Below are 23,228 nucleotides of genomic sequence, written 5' to 3'. Positions count from 1 at the left end.
GAGCTTGGATCCTGACCCATAGGGGAGGGGAGCACGAGACGGCAGAGGTCAGAAAGCCCAGGGAGGGGGAGGTAGGTAGCACAGAGCTGTTGCGGAGTCAGGGCCGTGGCACACCTGGAGGCCTGCGCCGTCCTGATAATCCTCTCAGCCGGTGACTAAAGGAGCCCTCCAAGCAGCAGACAAGTTACCCCTCAACATCAAGACACCCAGAAACTCCCCGGCTTCAGCTCTCCCTGGGTCTCAGGTCACCACTTAGCCCAGCTGTGTCCGGTGCAGACCTGGAAGGAGTGTGGGAGGATCTGTTTGGCTGGTGGGTCTTAGGGTCCTTCTTTTTTTTTTTTCTTGAGATGGAGTCTCGCTCTGTCACCAGGCTGGGGTGCAGTGATGTGATCTCAGCTCACTGCAGTCTCCACCTCCCGGGTTCAAGCAATTCTCCTGCCTCAGCCTCCCGAGTAGCTGGGACTACAGGTGCGTACCACCACGCCTGACTAATTTTTGTATTTTTAGTGGAGACGGGGTTTCACCATGTTGGTCAGGATGGTCTCAATCTCCTGACCTCGTGATCTGCCCACCTCAGCCTCCCAAAGTGCTGGGATTACAAGTGTGAGCCACCCTGCCACCCTACCCAGCCCTTAGGGTCCTTCTTGTACTTGTTGGGGGCTCCTTGTTCCTGGAAGCCCACGGTCTCCCCCACCTGCCCAAGGTGGGCCCTGGGTGGGCCACTCTCAGGCCCAGCGACCCGGCTGGCCTGTCCTGGGAGTCTTTGCAGCCGGAACCTCAGAAAGGATGGGGAAAGCTTGGAGCTGCATGTAGGGTTCCAGCTGGAAAAATTGGAGGGGAAGGCACACTCCATCCTGCCCCCAGCATCAACTGAGGCCAAGAATTCTCCTAACAGGGCCTGGCTCCAAAAGATGACAGGCCGCCCATCATCTGCCGGCCTCTGTTGTGGTCCCTGGCACAGTCTCTGTCCCTGTCTGACTCTCAGTGTTTATACATATTCATCCCTCTGTGCCCCAGCATGTGGTCCCTGGTTAGTGCCTTCCCCTTCTGTTAAGATTGCACTCTCGTCCCCTCGCACCTGCCTCGCTCCCTGCCTCTCATTTTCTGTCTCTTATTTTCTCTCTCCAGTCTCTCCTTCTGTGTTAATGTCCCTTCTCTCCTCTGGGTGGCAGCTTCGGCGCCATCCTCTCTTCAGCCTCCTTTTCACTGGGGAGAGCCCCTCTTAGGGGAGGCCCAGCAGCGGCCCCATGATGCAGGGGTGCTGATGAGGGTGCCTGAGCCCCCACAAGACCTGTGTGGGAGGGCAAGGAGGGATGGGCAGAGGCGAGGAGAGGGTGGTGAGAGCTACGGGCAGGGCCTTGGTCAGGGAAGTGAGGAACCTCCTTCACCTCACCCAGTCCCAGCCCGGGACGCCCTTCACAGAGACGGAGGCAGGAATGGCGCTCTTTTCTCTGGCTTCCTGCAGCTGGGGCTCTGTGGGGCCGTAGTGGACTTCAGCCTCGGACGGTCTCCACCAGCTCCTCTCTCAAACAAACAAACTGAGCCTGCTCTGCAAATGTTTGATGACCGGTCCCCTCTATACCTCCCTTGCAGCCTCCCCAGGCCCCTGCTGTATAGAAATGCTGGAGCCTCCACCACTCAGAGATGGGCACCAGCGCTGCGCTGAGTCCAAGAGGGGCGAGGCAGGCCTCTCCTGTTGCAGGGGAGTGGGGTGTACGTGGGACCCTGGGGAATGATCCTAAGGTGACAAAGTTGGGACCCTTCAGTAGCTCATAAACTGGCGTGAAGACTAAAATGAAATGGTAGGGGCGACTCCAGTCATGGGCCCCTGGGCTTAAGGCACCTCAGCACTTCATGATCCCTCAGCCGGAGCCCGGAAGCCTTCCTTGGGGGAGGTCCAGCAGGCGTCCAGCTGTCCACTCCCTGGCCTCGCCTGGCTCCCTTCCCTTGCTGGACACGCACCGAGTCACCAGGCCTGCTTCTCCCCAGGCTTCAGATGTGCAGGCGCGCCCCTTCCACTCGAGGCCTGGTGAGCGGCTTCTCTCTGCTCCATCTGGCCCCTGGGCCTGGCTGGCTAAAGCCCCTGCTTCAGGTCCAGGCTTACAGGTTCCCATCTCCCCAGGAGCCACCTGTAAACCCTGCTGAGGACCTCAGGTCCTTCTGTGTGGTCTAACAGCCCCCATGCCTGCCAGCCTCCATGCTGTCATCATAATTGAAGTTAACTCTGTTTAATGTTTTTTTTTAAGACAGGGTCTCCTCGTGTCACCCAGGCTGGAATGCAGTGGCACAGTCATGGTCCACTGCAGCCTCAACCTCCTGGGCTCAAGCTGCCCTGCCTCCTCAGCCTTTGAAGTAGCTGGGACTACAGGCGTGAGCCACTGTGCCTGGGCAGAGTTAACTCTGTGTGACGTTGTGTCTCCATTGCCCTCTGTGGGTTCAGGAACACCAACCGCACAGCTGCAATGTTCCAGTCGTTAGCTAGGCTCTTTCGTGTGGCCTGCTCCATTTAATCACCTCGGTAACCCCTTCATAGAGGAGGAAACAGAGGCTAGGAGAGGTGAAAAGTCAGCCGGGGGCGCACAGCAATCGCTGCCTTTTCTCCTCCCCAGGACTCTGAAGGGATCAGCACTGCTTTCCAAGTCCAAGTTGTGCTGCAGCAACTTCACAAAATGCCACTTTTATGCATTTATAAACACCAAGTTTAACAAACACGTGTTGAGTGCATTCCATACATTAGGCACTAGGCAAGTCTGGGGTATGGGTGGGCGTGTCCAGCAGGTCACCTGCCCATCTCTGGACCACTCGATCTCCAACCCAGCCTCTCTGTGCCGGCCAGGGCTGAGCGGGAGGGACCGGGTGTGGGGATGCGTGCGGTGGGCTGGGGGTGAGGGTGGGGTAGGGGTGGAGGGGGACCGGGTTTAATGAGGTGACTGCCACTTGTAAATGAAACAGAAGGCGGAGCTGCTTGTGTGAACCTTGACCTCTCCTGTCCAGCGTGCCTTTCATCGGGAGCTTTATGAGCAGCCGCTGTGCTCCGACGGGACCCACCGCAGCCTGGGGGAAGGCAGGGCTGGTCCCAGAGTGGAGAGGAGGCCGCCTGGGGGAGGGGTGCAGGCCTGGCTTCCACAGAGCCCTGCGCCTCTGTCCCTCTGTCGTCTCTCCCAGGAGTTTTGGAAAATAAATGGGTGGGCTGGATTTGAGAGGCGCTGCTTAGCACTGTGGATCGCACACTTGGAGACCTCTGAGAATGCACATTTCCAGGCCCATCCCTGCCGCTTCCGGTTCAGTCGGTTTGGTTTCGGGCTCGAAAATTTGTAATTCTAAAAAGCTCTCACAGTGATTCTTAAAACCAGTCAATTTTAGGAGCCACAGTCTTGCAACACAAGGTCATGCCAACTCCAACAGAATCTTCAGCTGGGATTTGAAACCCCAGTGCTCAGGGGTAATCGTCACCCCGTTTACTGAGTGTCCCCACGTACTGGACACTTATCTTGCAGCCGTTACCCATCGGACCCTCCAAATAATTCTGCAAGGTGGATGGGATTGTCTACAATTCACACATGAGCCGGAGATTAAATAACTCAACCAAGGGGATCACTTCTCCGCCTTTTGGCTAAGATCAAGTGTAACTCAACCAAGGAGAAACAGAACTGAGATTCGAAAATGGTTCATCTCACTCCAAAAGTTCTCATGTCAAGCAGATACTCTTTATGACGCTTACATAAAGGTGGCCGTTCACACGGAGATATCCAGAAACCCAGAAACTGCAGGAACCCAGAAATCACTGTCTTATTTTATTCTAAGTGCAGCCCCTGGAGCCAGCTTTGGACATCAAGATTAAAGACAGCCCTGCAGGGCAGAGGCACCTGGATGGCTTGTTCTCAGTTTCATCCCCAGTGTCCAGCACAGGCCTGGTACATAGGAAATGCTTGGGACATGCTTGTCAAATGGGTAGTAAATACTGACCAAAAGAACAAAATAAAAGGGCCCTGGATACAAAGCCTCAGGCGGCCCCTTCTTCATTGTACACCTCTGCATCCAGCAGAAGAGTTTTCCTTTCTCTTGTGAGCAGAGGAAGTGGGCTTGGCTGGAAGGAGTACAGTTCTGGGGAAGGGCCCTGGGTGTGACCTACGAGAAGAGCAGCTCCTGGAATGGAAGGGGATGCCCTTTCCCCCTGCCCGGCCGACCTCTTGCTGCATCCACGGGCGTGCATTTCAGTGGGGCCGGCCCTCTCAGTCCTACTCTTCCGGAGAGGGTGCTCTCAGGAGCTGCCCACACCTGGGGGCCCAGGCTCTGCGGTGCCCTCGGCCCCATGCAACGTGATAGCAGCCTCAGCTTCATTTTGCCAGTGCCTCATTCATCCAAAAATTATCTATCAAGCCTGGCAAGGTAACCATTGAATTGCATGCTTTAAATGTGTGAATTGTATGGTACTGTGAATTCTCAAGAAAGTTATTAAAAAGAGAAAGGAAGAACCTTATTTTCTAGGCTAGAGATTCTTAGGGCCCTTGAACCCACTGAAGCTCTCACCTGTAAGGCTCACACCTGTAATTCCAGGTGTGACACCGAGGCAGGTGGATTGCTTGAGCCCAAGAGTTTGATACCAGCCTGGGCCACGTAGTGAGACCTCATCTTTCCTATTAAAAAAAATTAGCTGGGTGTGATGGCATGCACCTGTAGTTCCAGCTACTTGGGAGGCTGAGATGGGAGGATCACTTGAACCTACGAGTTTAAGACTTCAGTGAGCCCAGATTATGCTGCTGCACTCCAGCCTGGACAACAGAGTGAGGCCCTGTCACAAAAAAAAAAAAAAAAAAAAAAGGAAAAATTATTGAAAAGAATGAACTAGGCTGGATGCGGTGGCTCACACCTGTAATCCTAGTACTTGGGGAGGCCGAGGCAGGCAGATTACCTGAAGTCAGGAGTTCGAGACCAGCCTGACCAACATGGTGAAACCCCATCTCTACTAAAAATACAAAAATTAGTTGGGCATGGTGGCAGGCAGTTGTTATCCCAGCTACCTGGGAGACTGAGGCAGGATAATCGCTGGAACCCAGGAGGTGGAGGCTGCACTCTAACCTGGGTGACAGAGCAAGACTCCATCTCACAAAAAAAAAAAAAAAAAAGATTTAGTGAGCACCTCCTCTGCCAGGCACTAGCTATGTAAAGAAGAAAAGATGTGGTTTGTGCGTGGTTTGTGATCTTAAGGAGCAGAGCGGCTTGGGCACTGAAGGAGGTGGGAGGGAATGAAACGTTAAGGGGTTGGGATTTTTCACCCGGGGAGGAAAAGGCTGAGGGTGGCAAGGGCTACAGAGGAATGTCACCTTTGCCTTACATCGAATTGTAGAGGGGAGAGGCCCAGACCCCCTGCACTGAGGATGGGCGAGATGGAAGAGGAGGCATCTTATCCATGCTCAATGGAGGGCCACCAGACCCGTGAGAGGTGGCAATGCCCTTTCCTGCTGAGGTATGAACAGAACAGAATGAAACCTGTCTGCTGAGGAAGGTGGATGTGAAGCCTTCCTGCAGTCTGGACCACGGCTTCAGAGACCGCTGGAGTGCTGCTCACCCCAGGAGGCGTGACAATTCTATCTTTAGGTAAGGGGTTAATGAAATTTACAGTATCTTACAAACCAGGATACTTTTGAGAATGAAATTTGGCACTCAATAATCACACCAGGGCTGAGCGCAGTGGCTCATGCCTGTAATCCCAGCACTTTAGGAGGCCGAGGTGGGAGGATCACTGGCATCCAGGAATTAGAGATCATTCTGGGCAACACAGTGAGACTCTATCTCTACAAAAAACAAAAAAAAAACTAGCCAGTTGTGACGTGCACCTGTAGTCCCTGCTACTCAGGAGGCTAAGGTGGGAGGATTGCTTGAGCCCAGGAGGCTGAGGCTGCAGTGAGCCATGATCACCACTGTGCTCAGCCTGGGCAACAGAATGAGACCCTGTCTCAAAAACAAGACAAAACAAAACAAAAACCACACTGGAACATCGGGTTTAAACCAAGGCTGTCCCCGCAGGTAGGTAGCAGTATGGTCATTCTACCTTTGAGTTACTCCAGCATTGGAGTTGAGGGCAGTAGGAGCCAGGGATCTGTGTTCCAGTTAATGCCTGGAGCAAGTGGCAAAAGCAGCAAGTGGAGCCACTGCCAGCCTCTCGGGAGGCCTGGAGGGACAGCCTGGGAGGGGGCAATCGGGGAGGGACAGCCTGGGAGGGGGCAATCGGGGAAGGAAGAGGGTCACAGAAGGGAAGGGTCTGAGAATAGCTTGAGCCAGTGGCTCCAGGCTGTGGTCAGAGTGGCTGGCCCCCGAGGTGAGCTGCGGCTAACCCAACTCCACACCACTGAGTGAATATTAAACCGGCACACAGGAAATGGACTCTGGGCGCCCCTCCCCTCCATACCCCGACTTCCCCAGGGGAGGTGCAAAAGGGAAGCCGTGAGGAGGCTCTCCCAAACCTGAAGCCCCAACTCCAGCTCATTCTGAGGACAGGGATTCTTTTTTGTGGCTTGGAGCCTTTGGAGAATCTCAGGAAAGCCGCAGGCCTTCTTAGAAAATGCACAAGTGCTCTCACAATTCTAGTTTGTAATTCAGTGGGTTCATGGGCCCTGAGTTAAGAATCTGTAGCTTAGAAAATGAGGTTCTCCCTTTCTCTCTTTTTAAAATAACTTTATTGGGAATTCACAATACCATATAATTTACACATTTAAAGTATGCAATTCCATGGTTTTTAATATATTCACAGAATTGTGCAACCATCACCACAGTAAATTTTAGAATATTTTCACCACCCCCAGAAGAAACCCTGCACCCCTTAGCCAACGCCTCTAATCCCCTGCCCCCCAATTCTCTCCAGCCCTAGGAGACCATTAATCTACTTTTTATCTCTAAAGACTGGCCGATTCTGGACATTTCATCTAAATGGAACCGTACAGTAAGTGGTCCTTTGTGTCTGCCTTCTTTCACTTAGCATAACGTCTTGAAGGTTAATGTTGTAGCATGGATTAGTACTTCACTTTTTTCTTTGCTTGCTTTCTTTCTTTTTTTTTTTTAAAGAGACTGGGTCTTGCTCTGTCACCCAGGCTGGAGTGCAGTGGCACGATCATAGCTCACTACAGCCTTGAACTCCCGGGCTCAAGCCTCAGCCTCTCCAGTAGCTGGACTTACAGGAGTGTGCCACTATGCCTAATTGTTTGGGTTTAAAAGTTTTTTTTGTAGAGGCAGAGTCTCGCTATGTTCCCCAAGCTGGAGTTGAACTTCTGGCCTCAAGCGATCCTCCTGCCTCCCAAAGTGAGCAATCCTCAAGTGATCCTCCCAAGGTGCTGGCAGGAGTGAGCCACCGTGCCCAGCTCTTCATTTCTAATACTGAATAATATTCCGTATAATGAATATGCCAAATTTTGTTTGTTCATTCTTTAGTTGCTGAATGCTTGAATTGTTTCTACTTTTTGCTTTTATGAATAATGCTGCTTTGAACATTGATGTACAAGTTTTGTGTATATATGTTTTCATTTCTCTTAGGTGTATGTCTGGGAGTGGAATTGCTGGGTCATATGGAAACTTCGTGTCTGGTCTTTGAGAAACTGCCAGATTGTTTTCCATACAGGCTGTACCATTTTATATTTCTGCCAGCAATGTCTGAGGTTCCAGTTTCTCCATGTCCTCACCAACACTTGTTAGTGTTATTATTTTTTCATTCTAGACATCCTAGTGGGTGAGAAGTCATATATCACTGTGGGATTTTTTTGTTTGTTTGTTTGAGACAGAGTGTCGCTCTGTCGCCAGGCTGGAGTGCAGTGGTGCGATCTTGGCTCACTGCAACCTCTGCCTCCCGGGCTCAAGCAATTCTCCTGCCTCAGCCTCCCAAGTAGCTGGGACTACAGGTGTGTGCCACCACACCCAGCTAATTTTTGTATTTTTAATAGAGACAGGATTTCACCATGTTGGCCAGGATGGTCTTATCGCTTTGACCTGGTGATCCGCCTGCCTCAGCCTCCCAAAGTGCTGGGATTACAGGCATGAGCCACTGCACCCGGCCCTCACTGTGGTTTTGATTTGACTTTTCATGATTGCCAGTGATGTTGACCATCTTTTCATGTGCTTATTGGTCACTTGTATATCCTCCTTGGAGAAATGTCTATTCAAATCCTTTGCTCATCTTTAAATTGGATCATTTGTCTTTTAATTATCGAATTGTTTAAGTGTTCTTTATATACAAGTCCTTTATCAGATATATGATTTGCAAAAATGTCATCCCAGTCTGTGGACAAGTTGTGTTGTCACTTTCTTGATGGTGTTCTTGGAAGCACAGAGGTTTTACATTTTGATGATGTTCAGTTTATCTGTTTTTCCTTTTGTTGCTTGTGCTTTCAATGTCATAGATAAGGAAATGTTGTTTAACCAAGATCACAAAGATGTATGTGACTACGAAGCCTTAGCTGAACTTGGCCTCCGTGGTAGCCTCTGGGTCATATTGGCTAGCTGGGACTGGCGGCAGCTAGCCAATATGGTGTCTTCAGGTGAATTCCCAAAGGGCCCCCTCCCTCCAGTGTAGCCCTGAGCTGCATTCACCCCTCAACTGATGCCTTTGTGCAGGCACAACCTGCACATTAGGGGTTGCCTAGAGGACAGAGGGACACAGGCTTTCAAACTTCCCAAGGTATTGGGCTCCTGAACCTGTGAATTTCATTTGCAACAGGCTGTAGGAGCCACTTAAAAGAGGAGAGAGATGATGTGTGAATACATGATTAGCTTCATCCACAAGCCGTAACACTTACCAGGGAAATATATGATGAACAGTGATTTGGAAAACTTCACAATTTTATTGGTGGTGACAAACAGGGATACACAAGAAACTCTCCTCTGCATGGCCTGTGTATTTGAAGTTTCAAATAGTGAATATGGAGCACAACATCATATTTACAGGCTTTTAAGGGGCTGAACATGGCTATTTATACAGAGAGATATCTGTACATAACATACACACGTATGTACACATACATACACACACTCTCTCTCCATTATCGAATGTCATTCTCACCACACTGGGTGGTGCCTTGGCCTGAGGTCACTCTGATTTTTCTAAATCTTATATGAGTGATGTCTTTTTTTTTTTTGAGACAAGGTCTCACTCTGTCGCCCAGGCTGGAGTGCAATGGTGCAATCTCAGCTCACTGCAGCCTTGACCTCCCAGACTCAGGTGATCCTTCCACCTCAGTTTCCCAAGTAGCTGAGACTACAGGTATGTGCCACCACATCTAGCTAGTTTTCTGTATTTTTGTAGACAGAAGGTTTCACCATGTTGCCCAGGCTGGTCTCGAACTCATGGGTTCAAGTAATCTGCCCGCCTTGGCCTCCCAAAGTGCTAGGATTACAGGCGTGAGCCACCGCGCCCAGCCTGGTGAAGTCATTTTTTCATGTATTTGTACTATTATCGCAGCTGTGATGCTCTGCAGTTGTAAAAAGAGAAATCGAGTTGTTGCTCTGTGTTCTTCAGATCTGCTGCCTACAACTCCTTAGGAAAGGTGAATCTTAACGACCCAAGTCTCTCTCTGCAGAATCCTGTTTCTAAATGTGGTAGAAAATATTGAGACAGAACATTTGCCATGGGACATTTACAGCCTTTATACAAATGTATTTAGTTCTCTTTTTCCAACATAACATTCTTGTTTTAAGATACAAGTAAAATTAATCTTTAAATATAAATGTAAATTAGTAGACAAAAATGGCTGGACATGGTAGCTCACACCTGTAATCCCAGCACTTTGAGAGGCCAAGGGAGGAGGATCACTTGAGCTCAGGAGTTTGAGATTAGCCTGGACAACATAGGGAGACCCCATTTCTGCAAAAAATTAGTCAGGCATGGTGGCATGTGCCAGTAGTCCCGGCTACTTGGGAGGCTGAGGTGGGAGGATTGCTTGAGTCCAGGAGGTTGAGGCTGCAGTGAGCCATGACTGCACTACCATCCTTTAACCTGGGCAACAGAGTGCCACCCTGACTCAAAAAAGAAAAATGTTAGTACACAAAACAAAGAATCTTTAGAATTATCTTTGTGACTAATTAGGGTGGAAGTTATGAAAGAATGTAATTCAGTAAATTATTTTTTAAATGAAAGCTTCCTTTCTTTTTGAAACCAAATGTTAAACTATAGCCTTCAGAAATGCTTAGTAGGCCAGACACGGTGGCTCGCACCTGTCATCCCAGCACTTAGGGAGGCCGAAGCAGGAGGATCGCTTGAGCCCGGAAGTTCAAGACCTGCCTGGGCAACAAAGGGAGACCCCATCTCTACAAAAAATTAAAAAATTACCGGGGTGTGGTGGCATGTGCCTGTAGTCTCAGCTACTCGGGAGGCTGAGGCGGGAGGATCACTTGAGCACAAGAGGTAGATGATTTCTCACAGTTAAAACCAATCTCCTAACCCATTAAACTCCTGAATGGGTATTACAAAGACAGAAAACTTTGCCCCCTCTCCTTAACAGATATAGTATATTTAAAAATAAAAATTGTGTTTTAAAAAGAGGAGGAGAGGGAGAGTGCTTTACAGCTTTGTCATTGAAGCTGCCTGAGGAGGGGGAGCTCAGAGGAGGCAAAGAACAAGGACATCTCTGAAGGACACATTGAATTCCGATTATGCCTGGAGTTCCCTACCTCTACCCCACTGGACAATTCCATATCTCAACACTACAGTGGATATAGGTGGGGCTGATTCCTGGCTAGGGGATGGCAGGGTGGGTCTTTCCTGAAAAAGGCATATAGTGACTTGGCAGGGGAGTGAAGGGTGGGCTGATCATCCCTTCCCCAATTTATATCATAACCCTCAAATGGTGACCAGGTCCTTTCCTTTCTTTTGAGAACACACACGGCCAGCACACAATCACCACTACACACCCTGCCACCGGTTCCCTCTTCTGACACTATTCTCCCAGGCTGTCAGCGTGTGCAGTGTGGCATCATCTCATCCTGAGATGCCGCTCCTCTGGTTCTAACCTGCAGGACACATAACCTTTTGGATGAAAGCTGGTCTGGCTGGGACACTTGTCCCTGCGTTGCTTTCCAGGGCTGATTCTGCTCAAGGCTCAGTGGGTGGCCTCTTTCTGCCTCCTCTCTGGCAGGCAGCCTCTAAGATGACTCCCAATGGTCCCCATCTCCTTGTATCCACAGCCTGTGTAGTCCCTGCCCCTCGAGTGTGGGTGGGACTTGTGACCTAACTTCTAACAAATGCAATACGACAAAGATGATAGGCTGTCACATTTCTGCTTGTGTGACATAAGATTGTGACTTCCCTCTTGCTAGCAGGCCCTCTCTGTTGCCCTTGAGCTTTGCACACTTTCACAAAGCAGGTGGTCATATCGGAGAGGCCCACATGGCAAGGAACAGAGGGCTGCTGCTGTCTGACCGACCTCAAGGAACTGAGTCCCACCATCAGTTCTCTGTAGAAGTGAATCCTCCTCCATTTGAACCTCAGATGAGACTCCGGTCCTGGCCAGCAACTTGATCACAGCCTTATGAGAAATCCTGAACCAGAGGACCCTAACAAAGCTGTATCTAAATTCGTGACTCAGAGAACCCATGAGATTATAAGCGTATGCTGCTTTAAACTTCTGTGTTTGCTGGGCACGGTGTCTCATGCCTGTAATCCCAGCACTTTGGGAGGCCGAGGGGCGCTGATCACCTGAGGTCAGGAGTTCAAGATCAGCCTGGCCAACAAGGCAAAACCCCGTCTCTACTAAAAATACAGAATTAGCCGGGCATGGTGGCGCACGCCTGTAATTCCAGCTACTCAGGAGGCTGAGATGGGAGAATCGCTTGAACCTGGGAGGTGGAGGTTGCAGTGAGCCAAGATCACGCCATTGCACTCCAGCCTGGGCAACAAGAGTGAAACTCTGTCTCAAAAACAAAACAACAGAAAAAACTTTTGTGTTTGTAGTAAGTGGTTACATGATGGATAACCGATACGTCTCTCATGTTAATCCTGTGTCCCTCTGTCAAAAAGGATGTCCTTCCCAGGTAATAGTGCATGCTCCCAGATGCTAGTAGCTGTCGTGGCTGTCAGTTATCTTCTGCAGAATTATGCTTTGCGGAGTTATCCTCTGTCCACCTTGGCCTAAGATTGGGGCTGATGAAGGAGTGCCAGGCGCCATCAAGGGCATCTGTTATCCACACTTTAGGACAGGTTCTCTGGCAGTAGGGCTGGAGGAGATGCTGTACTGCCTTCTCAGTCTGAACTTTCCATCAGTTTTCACCTCGCCCTGGAGCCTGAGGGAAACTCCAGAATGGTTTTGAAGAGACTTCTCACTGATGTCTGTGGGCCTTTTACTGTCTTCGGAAGAAGCGGTCCTGTTGGATTCGAGATCTCAGTTGTTGGGCTATAAGATTCTCATCATATTGGTAAACTTTTCCATTTCCTTCCTCAGAAATTAGAATTAGATGGAAGACACGTGGGGAGTCCAGAAGCCCAACAATCTCATTGCATAGGCAACAAAACCAAGGCCCAGAAAGGTGAACAGACACCCCAGGTCTCATGGTTGACTGCGCAGCTGGGCTGGAACCCAGAGCCCTTTCCATATCGCTCCCATGCCTCTCTGCCTATTGAATGGGCAATTTCTGACCACGGGAGCCAGGGCATGTTATGGCAATTTCTGACCACGGCAGCCAGGGACTTCCCACACTCCGGGGGTGAAGCGCAGCTGAGAACAAGCATGGGAGTGCCCGGGCTAGCGGCCCATCTTCCTGCCTTCCCTCGAGGCCCTAAGAGCGGGGAGTTCATCAGCGGCACGAGGCATCTTGTTCATATTTTCTCGGCTGGGAGGTCCTGGCAATGTCTTCATTTCCTGCACGGGAATGAGTTTTTAATCTCTGAGCTCAGCTTCACTTTGGATGGAGTGGGGGTTGGGAGCAGGAAAACCGAATCTGAAAATGTACAGCCCCTTCTTCCTGTCGTGGGTCCCTCTGACGGGCTGGCAGCGTCCAGCAGCTGAGAACTAGGGGTCCTGTCCATGCAGGCTCTGGGCAGTGATCCAAGAGGCCAGAAGAGTGGAGATGGAGCAGGGCCACTCCTTGGAGGCCCTGTCAGCACAGCCTTGGGCTCACAGTAAATGGGGCAGGGGGTAGAGGGTGGTCTTTCTTCTTTCATTTAGAACAAGCTGGAGGTGAAAATCATTTCTGCCCACCCTCCTCCCCCGGGGTGGAGCTCATTTCACCTTGTATCTTCTAGGAAGTCTCCTGACCCCCAAGGCTGGATTAGGTGCATCTCCTGGGCAGGTGGCGGGGGGCGGGGTGACATAGCACTATGTACTGCCCATCCATCCCTAGCCCTGTCAGCCGGGTTGCCATCGCTTGCTGGCATGTCCCTGACCCCACTGGCCAGACTCTGATGGGAGGCATCCTGGAAGAAAATGGGAAGGGGGTATTGGTCAGAGGGAGAAGCCAGTCCCACTGTGGTTGGAACTGAGGCCTCATCTGGTCCCACAAGGGGCCCTGGAGCTGGGGTGACTCTTTGGAGTTGACCCAGACTGTAGCAAGGAGGCCAGGCCTTTCTTTCCCTGCATTAGGCTGTGCCCTGGAAGCCACCGGCAGCTGACAGTCCGAGTAGCTGGCAGACGGGTCTGCCTCCTGAGGAAGGAACCTGGGATGAACACCTGGAAGAGACTTTCTGATTGCTATGGTAACAGATAGCATGCTACCTAACACTTAATAGGCATCCCATGAATATTTGAATATATAAATGAAAGATGGCATTTTGAGGGCCTTTTCTTCTCTGGGCTAAAAATGCCAGATCTTTCAGACTTTCTCCATGAACATGATTTTCAGTGCTTGCATCACCCTGGCTCCTGTCTGCTTTGAGAATAATCATGCCCTGCACGACACTTTGGTCCATGATGGACAACATGTACAACCGGGGGCCGAATAAGATTATAAGGAGATGAAAAATTCCCTCACATAGTGACATCGCAGCCACCATAACGTTGTATTACAACACATTGCTCACGTGTTTGTGGTGATGCTGGTGTACACAAACCTGCTGCGCTGCCGGTCCTGTGGAAGTTCAGAACATACAACTATGCACAGTACACAATATTGATCATGATGATAAATGACTATTACTGGTGTATGTATTTACCATACTATACTTTTTTACCATTTTAGAATGCTCTTCTACTTATTTTTTAAAAAATCAACTGTGAAACAGCCTCAGGCAGGGCCTTCAGGAGGTCCCCAGAAGCAGCCATTGTTATCACTGGGAGACGACAGCTCCATGGTCATTATTGCCCCTGAAGAGCTTCCAGTGGGACAAGATGTGGGGGTGGAAGACGGTGATACTGATGGTTCTCACCCTGTGTAGGCCAAGGTCTTAGCTTTTAACAAAAATATTTAAAAAGTAAAAAGCAAGTAACAATGCTTTAAAAATAGAGAAAACATCCTGCTACTCGTTGTCTTCTTCTTCTTTATTTATTCTTTTTGAGACAGAATTTTGCTCTTGTCGCTTAAGCTGGAGTATTGTGGCATGATCTCAGCTTACTGCAACCTCTGCCTCTCAGGTTCAAGCAATTCTCCGGCCTCAGCCTCCCAAGGAGCTGGGATTTACAGGCATGTACCACCACTCCCAGATTTTTTTTTTTTTTTTTTTTTGTATTTTTAGTAGACACGGGGTTTCGCCATGTTGACGGGGCTGGTCTCGAACTCCTGACCTCAGGTGATCCACCCACCTTGGCCTCTCAAAGTGCTGGGATTATAGGTGTGTGCCACCACGCCTGGCCCTACTCATCTTCTTATGTCATCTCTCCCCACCCCTCACCTCACCTTACCTCCACACCCTGGCTTGGGCTTTGCTTGATGTTCACATGAACTAGTTTTCACCATGAACAAATGTTAATGGACAGGGAGGACCTGCAGTGTTGAGGTTGGCACCCCCTCGGCACCGCCTGCCCGTGGCAATGCCCCGCGCCTTCCTGTTGCTTTGGGATAACAGGTGCTTTGTTTCGTGCCTCAGGCCAGGCTGCGTGGTCTGGCTGTGACTCTGAGGTATTTTCTGTCTGTCACCGCAAGTCAGTGTTTGAAAGGTTTTAAAAATGACACTGAAACCACAGCCATTCACCAATGACTTTGAAGGTGAGAATGGATCTTGGGGACACGAGGCCTGTCACTGCATTGGGAATGAGGGTGTCCTGGGAGTGATCACCTAAACTCTGCTTCTCCACATGGGTTGATCCCTCCCTTTCCCCTCAAGCCACACGGTCTGAATTCTCCCAACTAGAAGGGAGCAAAAGGAGCCAGCTGCTGACTGACATGCTCACAGAACGTTAAGACCCCTAGCAGGGACCTTACATGTGTGTTGTGTTCAGAGTCAACTAATGTTGACCCGTTGCCGTGTGCTGGACGTGGGATTGAATGTTGTCTCATTTTTGGTTACAACTCTCTGAGATAGAGCAAGGGTCATTTTCCCATCTCGCCAATGAGAAAACTGAAGTCCAGCCAGGAAGGTTGTGTGGCTTTGCCAGTGGCAAATCCTGGACCAGCCTCTTGGCCTGTGGATCTTTGCTCAGTCCTGTGCTCTGTCTGCTACGTGGCTCCTGGCCCCAGGAAGGCAATCCCGACTGCCCACAACTTCGGGGCCACTGGGAGTAGAATGTCCTGCGTAACCCGGATGAGATATGGAAGGGGGCAGGAGAGCCATGGGCACATGACAGATCTGAGGAGCTGGCGGTTTCCTTCCTCTACCACGTGAAAATTTTCCAAATATGGAGAGCCATCTGTTGATGATGTGAGAATTGAGCAACTTCCACTCTCATCATTAGCCTGGCAGCTTTGGAAAGTGAGTCCAGAAAGAGCCCCTGTGGATCATAAAGAAAATTTAAGCCGTATGTTTCTCATTCATTTACTCTTAAGTCATCAAAATGTTGGTTTTAAAGAGGCTTTTGATGTCCCACTCGCTTTCTGCTTTTTTGTGGGGGGAGAGAGAAAGGAAGTCACAATTCTCTAGCTGTAAATTGCCCATTTTGGGGAAAGCTGGAGATGGATCCAGGACCCCAAGTACTGGAAGACTGGAGGGACCTCCAGGCAGGGGTCTGCTTTAGGAACACAGACAAGGGTACTTGTTGTCATTGCACAAAATGTACATCGAGCACTTAGCACGCGTTGGGTACAGTAACAAGCACCAGGTAAAGAACTCACGATCCTCTGCTGTGAGTAGTAGCAGAAAGTAGGGGAGCCACCCATCTGAATATGTGATCGTGCCATTCCCCTGGAGGGGACTCTGCGGACCACAGTGGTCTTCTGAAGCAGCAACACCAGGAAGAAGAGACTCTGGCTTGGAGAGGTCCAAATGCCCGGGATCCCTCTACAGCAGGTGTCGTCCTGCAGCTGGGGTTTGAACCTAGGCTGTCTTGCTCTGGAGCTTGCGTTCTTAACCTCTACTGCCTCCAGGAGGAGGTGGAGGTGTTCCCTAGGCAGGGAAAAGGAGGAAGAACCCTCAGGCGGAGGAAGGGACACCTGAAAAGGCCCCAGGAAGGAAAGGGCGTGACCCATGTAAGGAACAGAAAAGTCAGTGTGGTGGAGGACAGGAGACAGGCCACAGGGGAGGCTGGAGAGGGCCCGAGCGTGAGGGCCTTGGTGCCCAGTCAGGATGTGGTCTCTAACAAGAGCAGAGGGAGGGGCCGGGTGCGGTGGCTCATGCCTGTAATCCCAGCACTTTGGGAGGCCGAGGCGGGCGGATCACGAGGTCAGGAGATGGAGACCATCCTGGCTAACACAGTGAAACCCCGTCTCTACTAAAAATACAAAAAATTAGCCGGGCATGGTGGCGGGCGCCTGTAGTCCCAGTTACTTGGGAGGCTGAGGCAGGAGAATGGTGTGAACCCAGGAGGCAGAGCTTGCAGTGAGCAGAGCTTGCAGTGAGCAGAGATCGCACCACTGCACTCCAGCCGGGGTGACAGAGCGACACTCCATCTCAAAAGGAGCAGAGGGAAACTGCTGGACAGTTTTCAAAGCTCTCCAGGGGATTCGGATATGGATTCAGGGTTGAGAACCTCTGGGACTAAGGTGGCAGCAGTTGAAGCAGGAACAAGTGGACAGAGTTGAGTTGAGGAGTATCTTAGACTTCAATTTATAGGATTTGGTACAACTGATTGCATGATGGAAAGGGAAAGGGGAGGTATTGAGAGAGGAAAGGGGGAATAGTGAGTGAGTGATGGACATTCGTGGAGAACCCCAGAGATGGGCTCCAGGGGCCTCTGGCTTTTAGGAAACTGCTATGCTAACGCTCCCATTAAGCGCCCCAGTTTCTATCTGAATATGTGAGCTCAAGTGTGCCCTGAAGATTTTCCAGGCTTTGAAGTCCAGATCACTTTTGTCCTAAGTAGTATGTTTACAACAAAACATTGGAAGTGTCACAATCCAGATATAAATAAAATGCTGGAGTTTCTGAATATCTAATTCTGCTGGAGAATGTCAGGGCATGCACTACAGAGGAAAGGGCATTTGATTAGGTTATTTTTTCTTTTATGTATTTTTTTTCTTGAGACAGGGTCTTTACTCTGTCTCCTAGGCTGGAGTACAGTAATGTAATCTCGGCTCACTGCAGCCTCAAACTCCCTGGGCTCAGGTGATCCTCCCACCTCAACCTCTTGAGTAGCTGGGACTAGGTGCATGCCATCACATCTGACATATATATATATATATATATATATATATATTTTTTTTTTTTTTTAATAGAGACAGGCTTTTGTCATATTGCCCAGGCTGATCTCAAACTCCTGGGCTCAAATGATCCGCCTGCCTCGGCCTTCCAGAGTGCTGGGATTACAGGCGTGAGCCACCGCGCCCGGCCTGAGTAGGTTCTTTTTTTTTTTTTTTTTTTTTTTTTGAGACAGAGTCTCGCTCTGTCACCCAGGCTGGAGTGCAGTGGCACAATCTCCGCTCACTGCAAGCTCCACCTCCCAGGTTCAAGCGATTCTTCTGCCTCAGCCTCCCAAGTAGCTAGGATTATAGGCGCCTGCCACCATGCCCAGCTAGTTTTTGTATTTTTAGGTAGAGATGGAGTTTCACCATGTTGGCCAAGCTGGTCTTGAACTCTTGACCTCATGATCCACCCTCCTTGGCCTCCCAAAGTGCTGGGATTACAGGCGTGAGCCACCGCGCCCAGCCCTGAGCAGGTTCTTAAACGACATGCAGAAGTTCTCGACTGAAGAAAGAAGGGTGGCCAGGCTGGGTGGCTCACATCTGTATTCCCAACAGTTTGGGAGGCTGAGGCAGAAGGACTGCTAGAGGCCAGGAGTTTGAGACCAGCCTGGGCAACATAGCAAGAACTGGTCTCTCCAAAAAATTTTAAAAATTGCCAGGTATGGTGGCATGTGCTTGTAGTCCTAGCTATTTAATACTTAAGGAGTTTTGTTTGAGCCCAGGAGCTTGAGGTTGCAGTGAGCCATGATCATGCCACAGCACTCCAGCACGGCCAACAGAGCAAGACCCCATCTCTTTAAAAACGAAAGAAGAAAAAAAATTGTCCTGAGCATGTGCGGGTGCCAGGTGGGAAGTTCAAAGTGGCAGTGATAGGCGTGTAGGGAGAATGATGGGAATGAGCCTGGCCAGAGGGCTGGGACCAGCCGAGAAGAGCTGTGGAAGCCAAGTAGAGGATTCCATCCTTTCCCTGGCACCACCCTTTAACTTGTAAATTTCCCTCCCCCCAAGACCTGGTCTTTTGTCTTTTGTTGGGGGCCTCTGAACATAAGAGAATCCTTAGAGCCAACAGGCCTTTGGAAGTTAGTGTAATCCATCCTCTTGTCCTTAGGGAGTACTAGGCCTAAGTTGTCCTGGACATGTAGGAAACTTTCCTGTGTTTTAAGCATTTTAAAGAAGGAGATCGTACGGGCTCACTGGGTAACCCTTGGTTGATCCAGGAGCCCTGACCCTAATTCTTTTCTTCTGTAGTTCTGACTCATTTTTGTAGAGTCAGAGGAATGGAGACAGTCATGATTTGCTGTAATGAGAGATCCCCAAATTCTTACAAAACTGCGAATGAAAAACATTATTGGACTCCTGCCATGTGAAAGGGTCTCTGCAGGTTGGGATATAAGAAATTGGAAGACACATTCTTTGACTGCATATATAGACATAAGGAAATAAGAAAGAAAGCCAGTAACACAAGGCAATATATACTAAGTGTCAAATAAAGTCTTCCTTGATTTTTTTCTGCCTGTTCCCATTGTTCCTGGTCCATACCTCACCTCCCAGAGAGCAATTATCATATGACATTGCAATTGTTTGTTTTCATGTTTGTCTCCTCAGAAGACTGAGCTCCTTAAAGTAGCACTGTGTCCTTTTCCTCTTTGCATGAATCCCTGAGCCCTACCTCAGTATCTAGCTTATAATATGATACGGTTTGGCTGTGTCCCCACCCAAATCTCATCTTGAATTCCCACATGTTGTGGGAGGGACCTAGTGGGAGGTAATTGAATCATGGGGGCAGGTCTTTCCCATGCTGTTCTCATGATAGTGAATGAGTCTCACGAGATCTGATGGTTTTGTAAGGGGGATTTTCCCTGTACAACCTTGCTCTCTCTTTACCTGCCGCCATCCACATAAGATGTGACTTGCTCCCCCTCACCTTCTGCTATGATTGTGAGGCCTCCCCAGTCATGTGGAACTGTAAGTTCATTAAACCTCTTTCTTGGGCCAGGTGCAGTGGCTCACACCTGTAGTCTCAGCACTATGGGAGACCGAGTTGGGTGGATCACCTGAGGTCAGGAGTTTGAGACCAGCCTGGCCAACATGGTGAAACCCCGTCTCTACTAAAATTACAAAAAAATTATCTGGGCTTGGTAGCACGTGCCTGCAGTCCTAGCTGCTTGGGAGGCTAAGGCAGTAGAATTGCTTGAACCGGGGAGGTGGAGGTTAGAGTGAGCTGAGATCGTACCACTGCACTTCAGCCTGGGCGACAGAGCGAGACCCCTTCTCAAAACCAAACAAATAAACAAACAAAAAACTTCTTTCTTTTGTAAATTGTCCAGTCTTGGGTATGTCTTTATTAGCAGCATGAAAACAGACTAATACATAATAGATGCTCAATAAATGTTTGATGGATTAATAAATGAATGGTAAAGACAGTTTTCTCATAGAAATTCGAGACTATAGGGACCACTGTGAGCCAGAATGCTCAGAAAATGTTTGACAAAAGCAGTGAAGCATTCTACTATATGCCCAACTTTTAGTGTTGGGAAATGAGAGCCAAAATAATGTAGTTAGAAAGTGGTAAGTTGGGCAGGAGAAAGGCCTCTCACAACCAAACTGTAGCTAATGTTTTCCAGGTGGCAGCTCATGGCCTCTGTTCTCTAGCTTGACACACAATGGATTCTGGGACAAGTGGCCAATGCATTGTTCCAATTTGTGACCAGGTGTGGAGCCACAGGGACCTGGGGTCCATCCTGGGCATTCCCTTGGGTGTGGGAGCACCAGATGTTGCTCTGGTTTTTCTGGAGGCTCCCAGAATCCCACTGTCTCCACTAGAGACTGTGCCCCCTTCTGAGTTGGTCCCTTTCCCTCTTGCTCAAATTAAAACAGCTAATTTTAGACACTTCCTGATTACTCCTAGCTGGGTCTCATTAGCAGATTTAAAACGTTTGGAACCTCAGATGGAGAAGGAACAACGTTCATTGGTTCTGGTCTGTTTTCCATCTCTACATTGCTGTTGATGTTGGCTGCCTTGGAGAAAAGCAAAATGAACTCCCTCCTAAGAGTGTGGACCACAGGCTATTGGCTGAGTGCCTGAACCAGTGGGTGAGGGGTGAGGGAACACATGTCCAAAGGAATATGACCACCTCTGGTGGCAGGCACATGTTTTGCTCATAACACATCTCAGAAGTGCATAAACAGTCATTTTTCATTTGTACATTTATTCAACATTTAAGGATCACTTAGCATATTCCAGGTTCTGAACTGTCCCAAATCCCACTTAGCATACCCAGGTTATAAGAATACAAAAACATTTAATGAATGGTTCCTGCTGGCCAAGAACTCACAGACGGGGTGCAATAGACAAGCATATATGATTGCCAACCCACGGGATTCATGTGGAGGTGTGCAAAGGGCACTGTGGTAGAACAACACTGACAACAGAACATCTTTATTGAATATTTATGTCCCAGGTCTAAGGATTTTACACGTGTTAATTCTCACAATAACCCTATGAGCATAGAGAAGGACCACCTAATTTAGTAGGGAAGTGGGAAGCAAAAAACAGGTACATCTGGGACGGCAGGGCATTTAGGCAGATGGAATGGTGTGTAAAAGGTGTGGAGGCATCTCGTACAAACAGAATTTGGGGATCTACCTGCCTCTTCCTCCAAGTATTTTTCTCTGTCATGGAGGAAAAGCTTCCTGTAAATATCTTGCAGTTGCTAATGCCTGTTGACTGTGAGATGGATTTCAAACGCCTCCAGGGCATTCTTATTCCTTTAAAGACAGTCTCCAGCAAGAGCGTTGCTTTCCCTGATAGGACTGGGGTCATATGAATCCCCCACCCTCACTTTCACCATTTCCCTCTTTCTCGCTCTTTCTCTGCTCCTGTAAATGATCTCAGTAGTGTTTTTACTTTTAGTCCAAGCCTCCTAGGATTTTTCTTTTCTACACTAACCAGCTCATTTCCCAGTGGAATGGATCATTAGAGTCTCTCTCATCTCATCTCTTTGATCCCAGTCATCCTGGGACTGTCCCTAAGCAGGATCCATAACCAAAAGTCTTATCCAGCAAATTCAAGATAAATTATTATCATCATCACCACCATTATCATCATTATCAGCAGCAGCAGCAGTGTCTGCACATGGCCTGTGCTGGACACCACACAGAGTTCAGTGTTCCCTTCTGTCTGACAATCTGATGCCAACCTCAGGATTTACACGGGGTCTAAACCAAAGACTTACATGGCATCCAAATTCTAGCATGGGACTTGCAGGAGGAGGGGAATTGCCAGCGCGATTTGGGTCACAGTGGAGATTTCTGGACAACTGAGAAAAGTGATCCTGGAAAGATACTAAGGTTACGCATAGTGACTTCCAATCTGAAGTCAGACGGCATGAGAATCATGGCACTTCCTGCCTTCACTGATACTTTTCAAGGACTTGACGCTCCTCCTTGAGTTCAAGACCAAGGAAACATGGCCTTCCCCTCTCCTGCACATCCTTTGCCCTAAATCATAGAAAGGGAAGTTCTAAGCCCTGGCCTGCAACAAAGGAGTTAGTGAGCCCCGAATCTGGCCTCAGAGAGGACAGGATGGTGCCTGGTGAGGAAGCAGCTTCCCTTCCGCCTGGTGTCTTGGCTCCATGGAACGATCCTCTCCAGAGCACTTGAGGCCTAGAGTCCTTCTGAATGGAAACAAGAGACTCGTAAATCCCAAAGCCAGACTCCCTTGGAAGCTCCTGGCTCGGCTCTTGCCTCCCGGGCTCCCTGCCATGAGGAGCATCTCCCAGACTGCTCTCCCTCTCCCCCAGCCGACTGCACGCGCTGACTTTTTGCTCTGGTCGGGGGCAGCCTGTGCCCTGCCTGCCCGGAGGCCTCCAGCCTGCTTGGGTTACCATGAATGAGCATGTTTGGGCTGAATGGTAACCCTCAAGTTTTTCTGAAATTTGGGGTCACTGGGTCCTGAGATGCTGACCTAACATTTTGGGGAAGGTTTGATAAACTGGGTTTCGAAGAGGCCCCAGACAGCCGTCCATCCAACCAGTGCGGGTTACGAGACGAGGAAATCCAGGCAAAGTCCAGTTGAAATCAATCTGTTACCTCCCTTCAGCGGAGGCCCCAACACCCAGGCCCATCCGTTCCCTCTGGGGCCCCATCCCAGGGTGTTGATCCCACGCCAGCTCCAGCCAGCTGCCCAGGAGTCTGTCTCCTGCTCTGATGATGGGGCTCCCGCCCCTCCTCTCACTTCTTCCTTTTCCAGTCAACCTTGTCCTTCATCTAGAGGTCATGAGCAGAGACCTCCAGGTGCAGCCCGTGCTGGGCTAAGGGAGTCAATCCCACACTGTCAGGCAGATCTGTCGAGAGAGCTTTAGGGTTTTTAATTAGGAGGGCCAGCTGGGCTCCTTCTTTAGTCCCCTACTCCACCCCCCAGCCTGGCTTGTAACTTGACTTGTTAAGATGGAACCAAGGGAAGGAGGGAAAGGAAGAGAAGGGAGCATGAATTACTAACCTCACTTCCTCCCTGTGTTTTAAAAGTCACCTTGTATCCAGTCTCC

At 49.6% G+C, this 23,228-nt stretch overlaps 2 annotated features.

The window, feature by feature from the left end:
• Window positions 1,792-2,717: an enhancer, noted in NCBI's record as "H3K4me1 hESC enhancer chr11:126055613-126056538 (GRCh37/hg19 assembly coordinates)". NCBI's record gives its function as "activates a minimal SCP1, AML or CMV promoter by ChIP-STARR-seq in naive and primed H9 embryonic stem cells {active_cell/tissue: H9 hESC(naive and primed)}" and the evidence as "EXISTENCE:reporter gene assay evidence [ECO:0000049][PMID:30033119]".
• Window positions 4,966-5,465: an enhancer, noted in NCBI's record as "H3K27ac hESC enhancer chr11:126052865-126053364 (GRCh37/hg19 assembly coordinates)". NCBI's record gives its function as "activates a minimal SCP1, AML or CMV promoter by ChIP-STARR-seq in primed H9 embryonic stem cells {active_cell/tissue: H9 hESC(primed)}" and the evidence as "EXISTENCE:reporter gene assay evidence [ECO:0000049][PMID:30033119]".

This window comes from Homo sapiens, chromosome 11 (genome assembly GCF_000001405.40).
Source record: "Homo sapiens chromosome 11, GRCh38.p14 Primary Assembly".
NCBI classification, from domain to species: Eukaryota; Metazoa; Chordata; class Mammalia; order Primates; family Hominidae; genus Homo; species Homo sapiens.
This window is presented reverse-complemented; position numbering and strand designations above follow the sequence as displayed.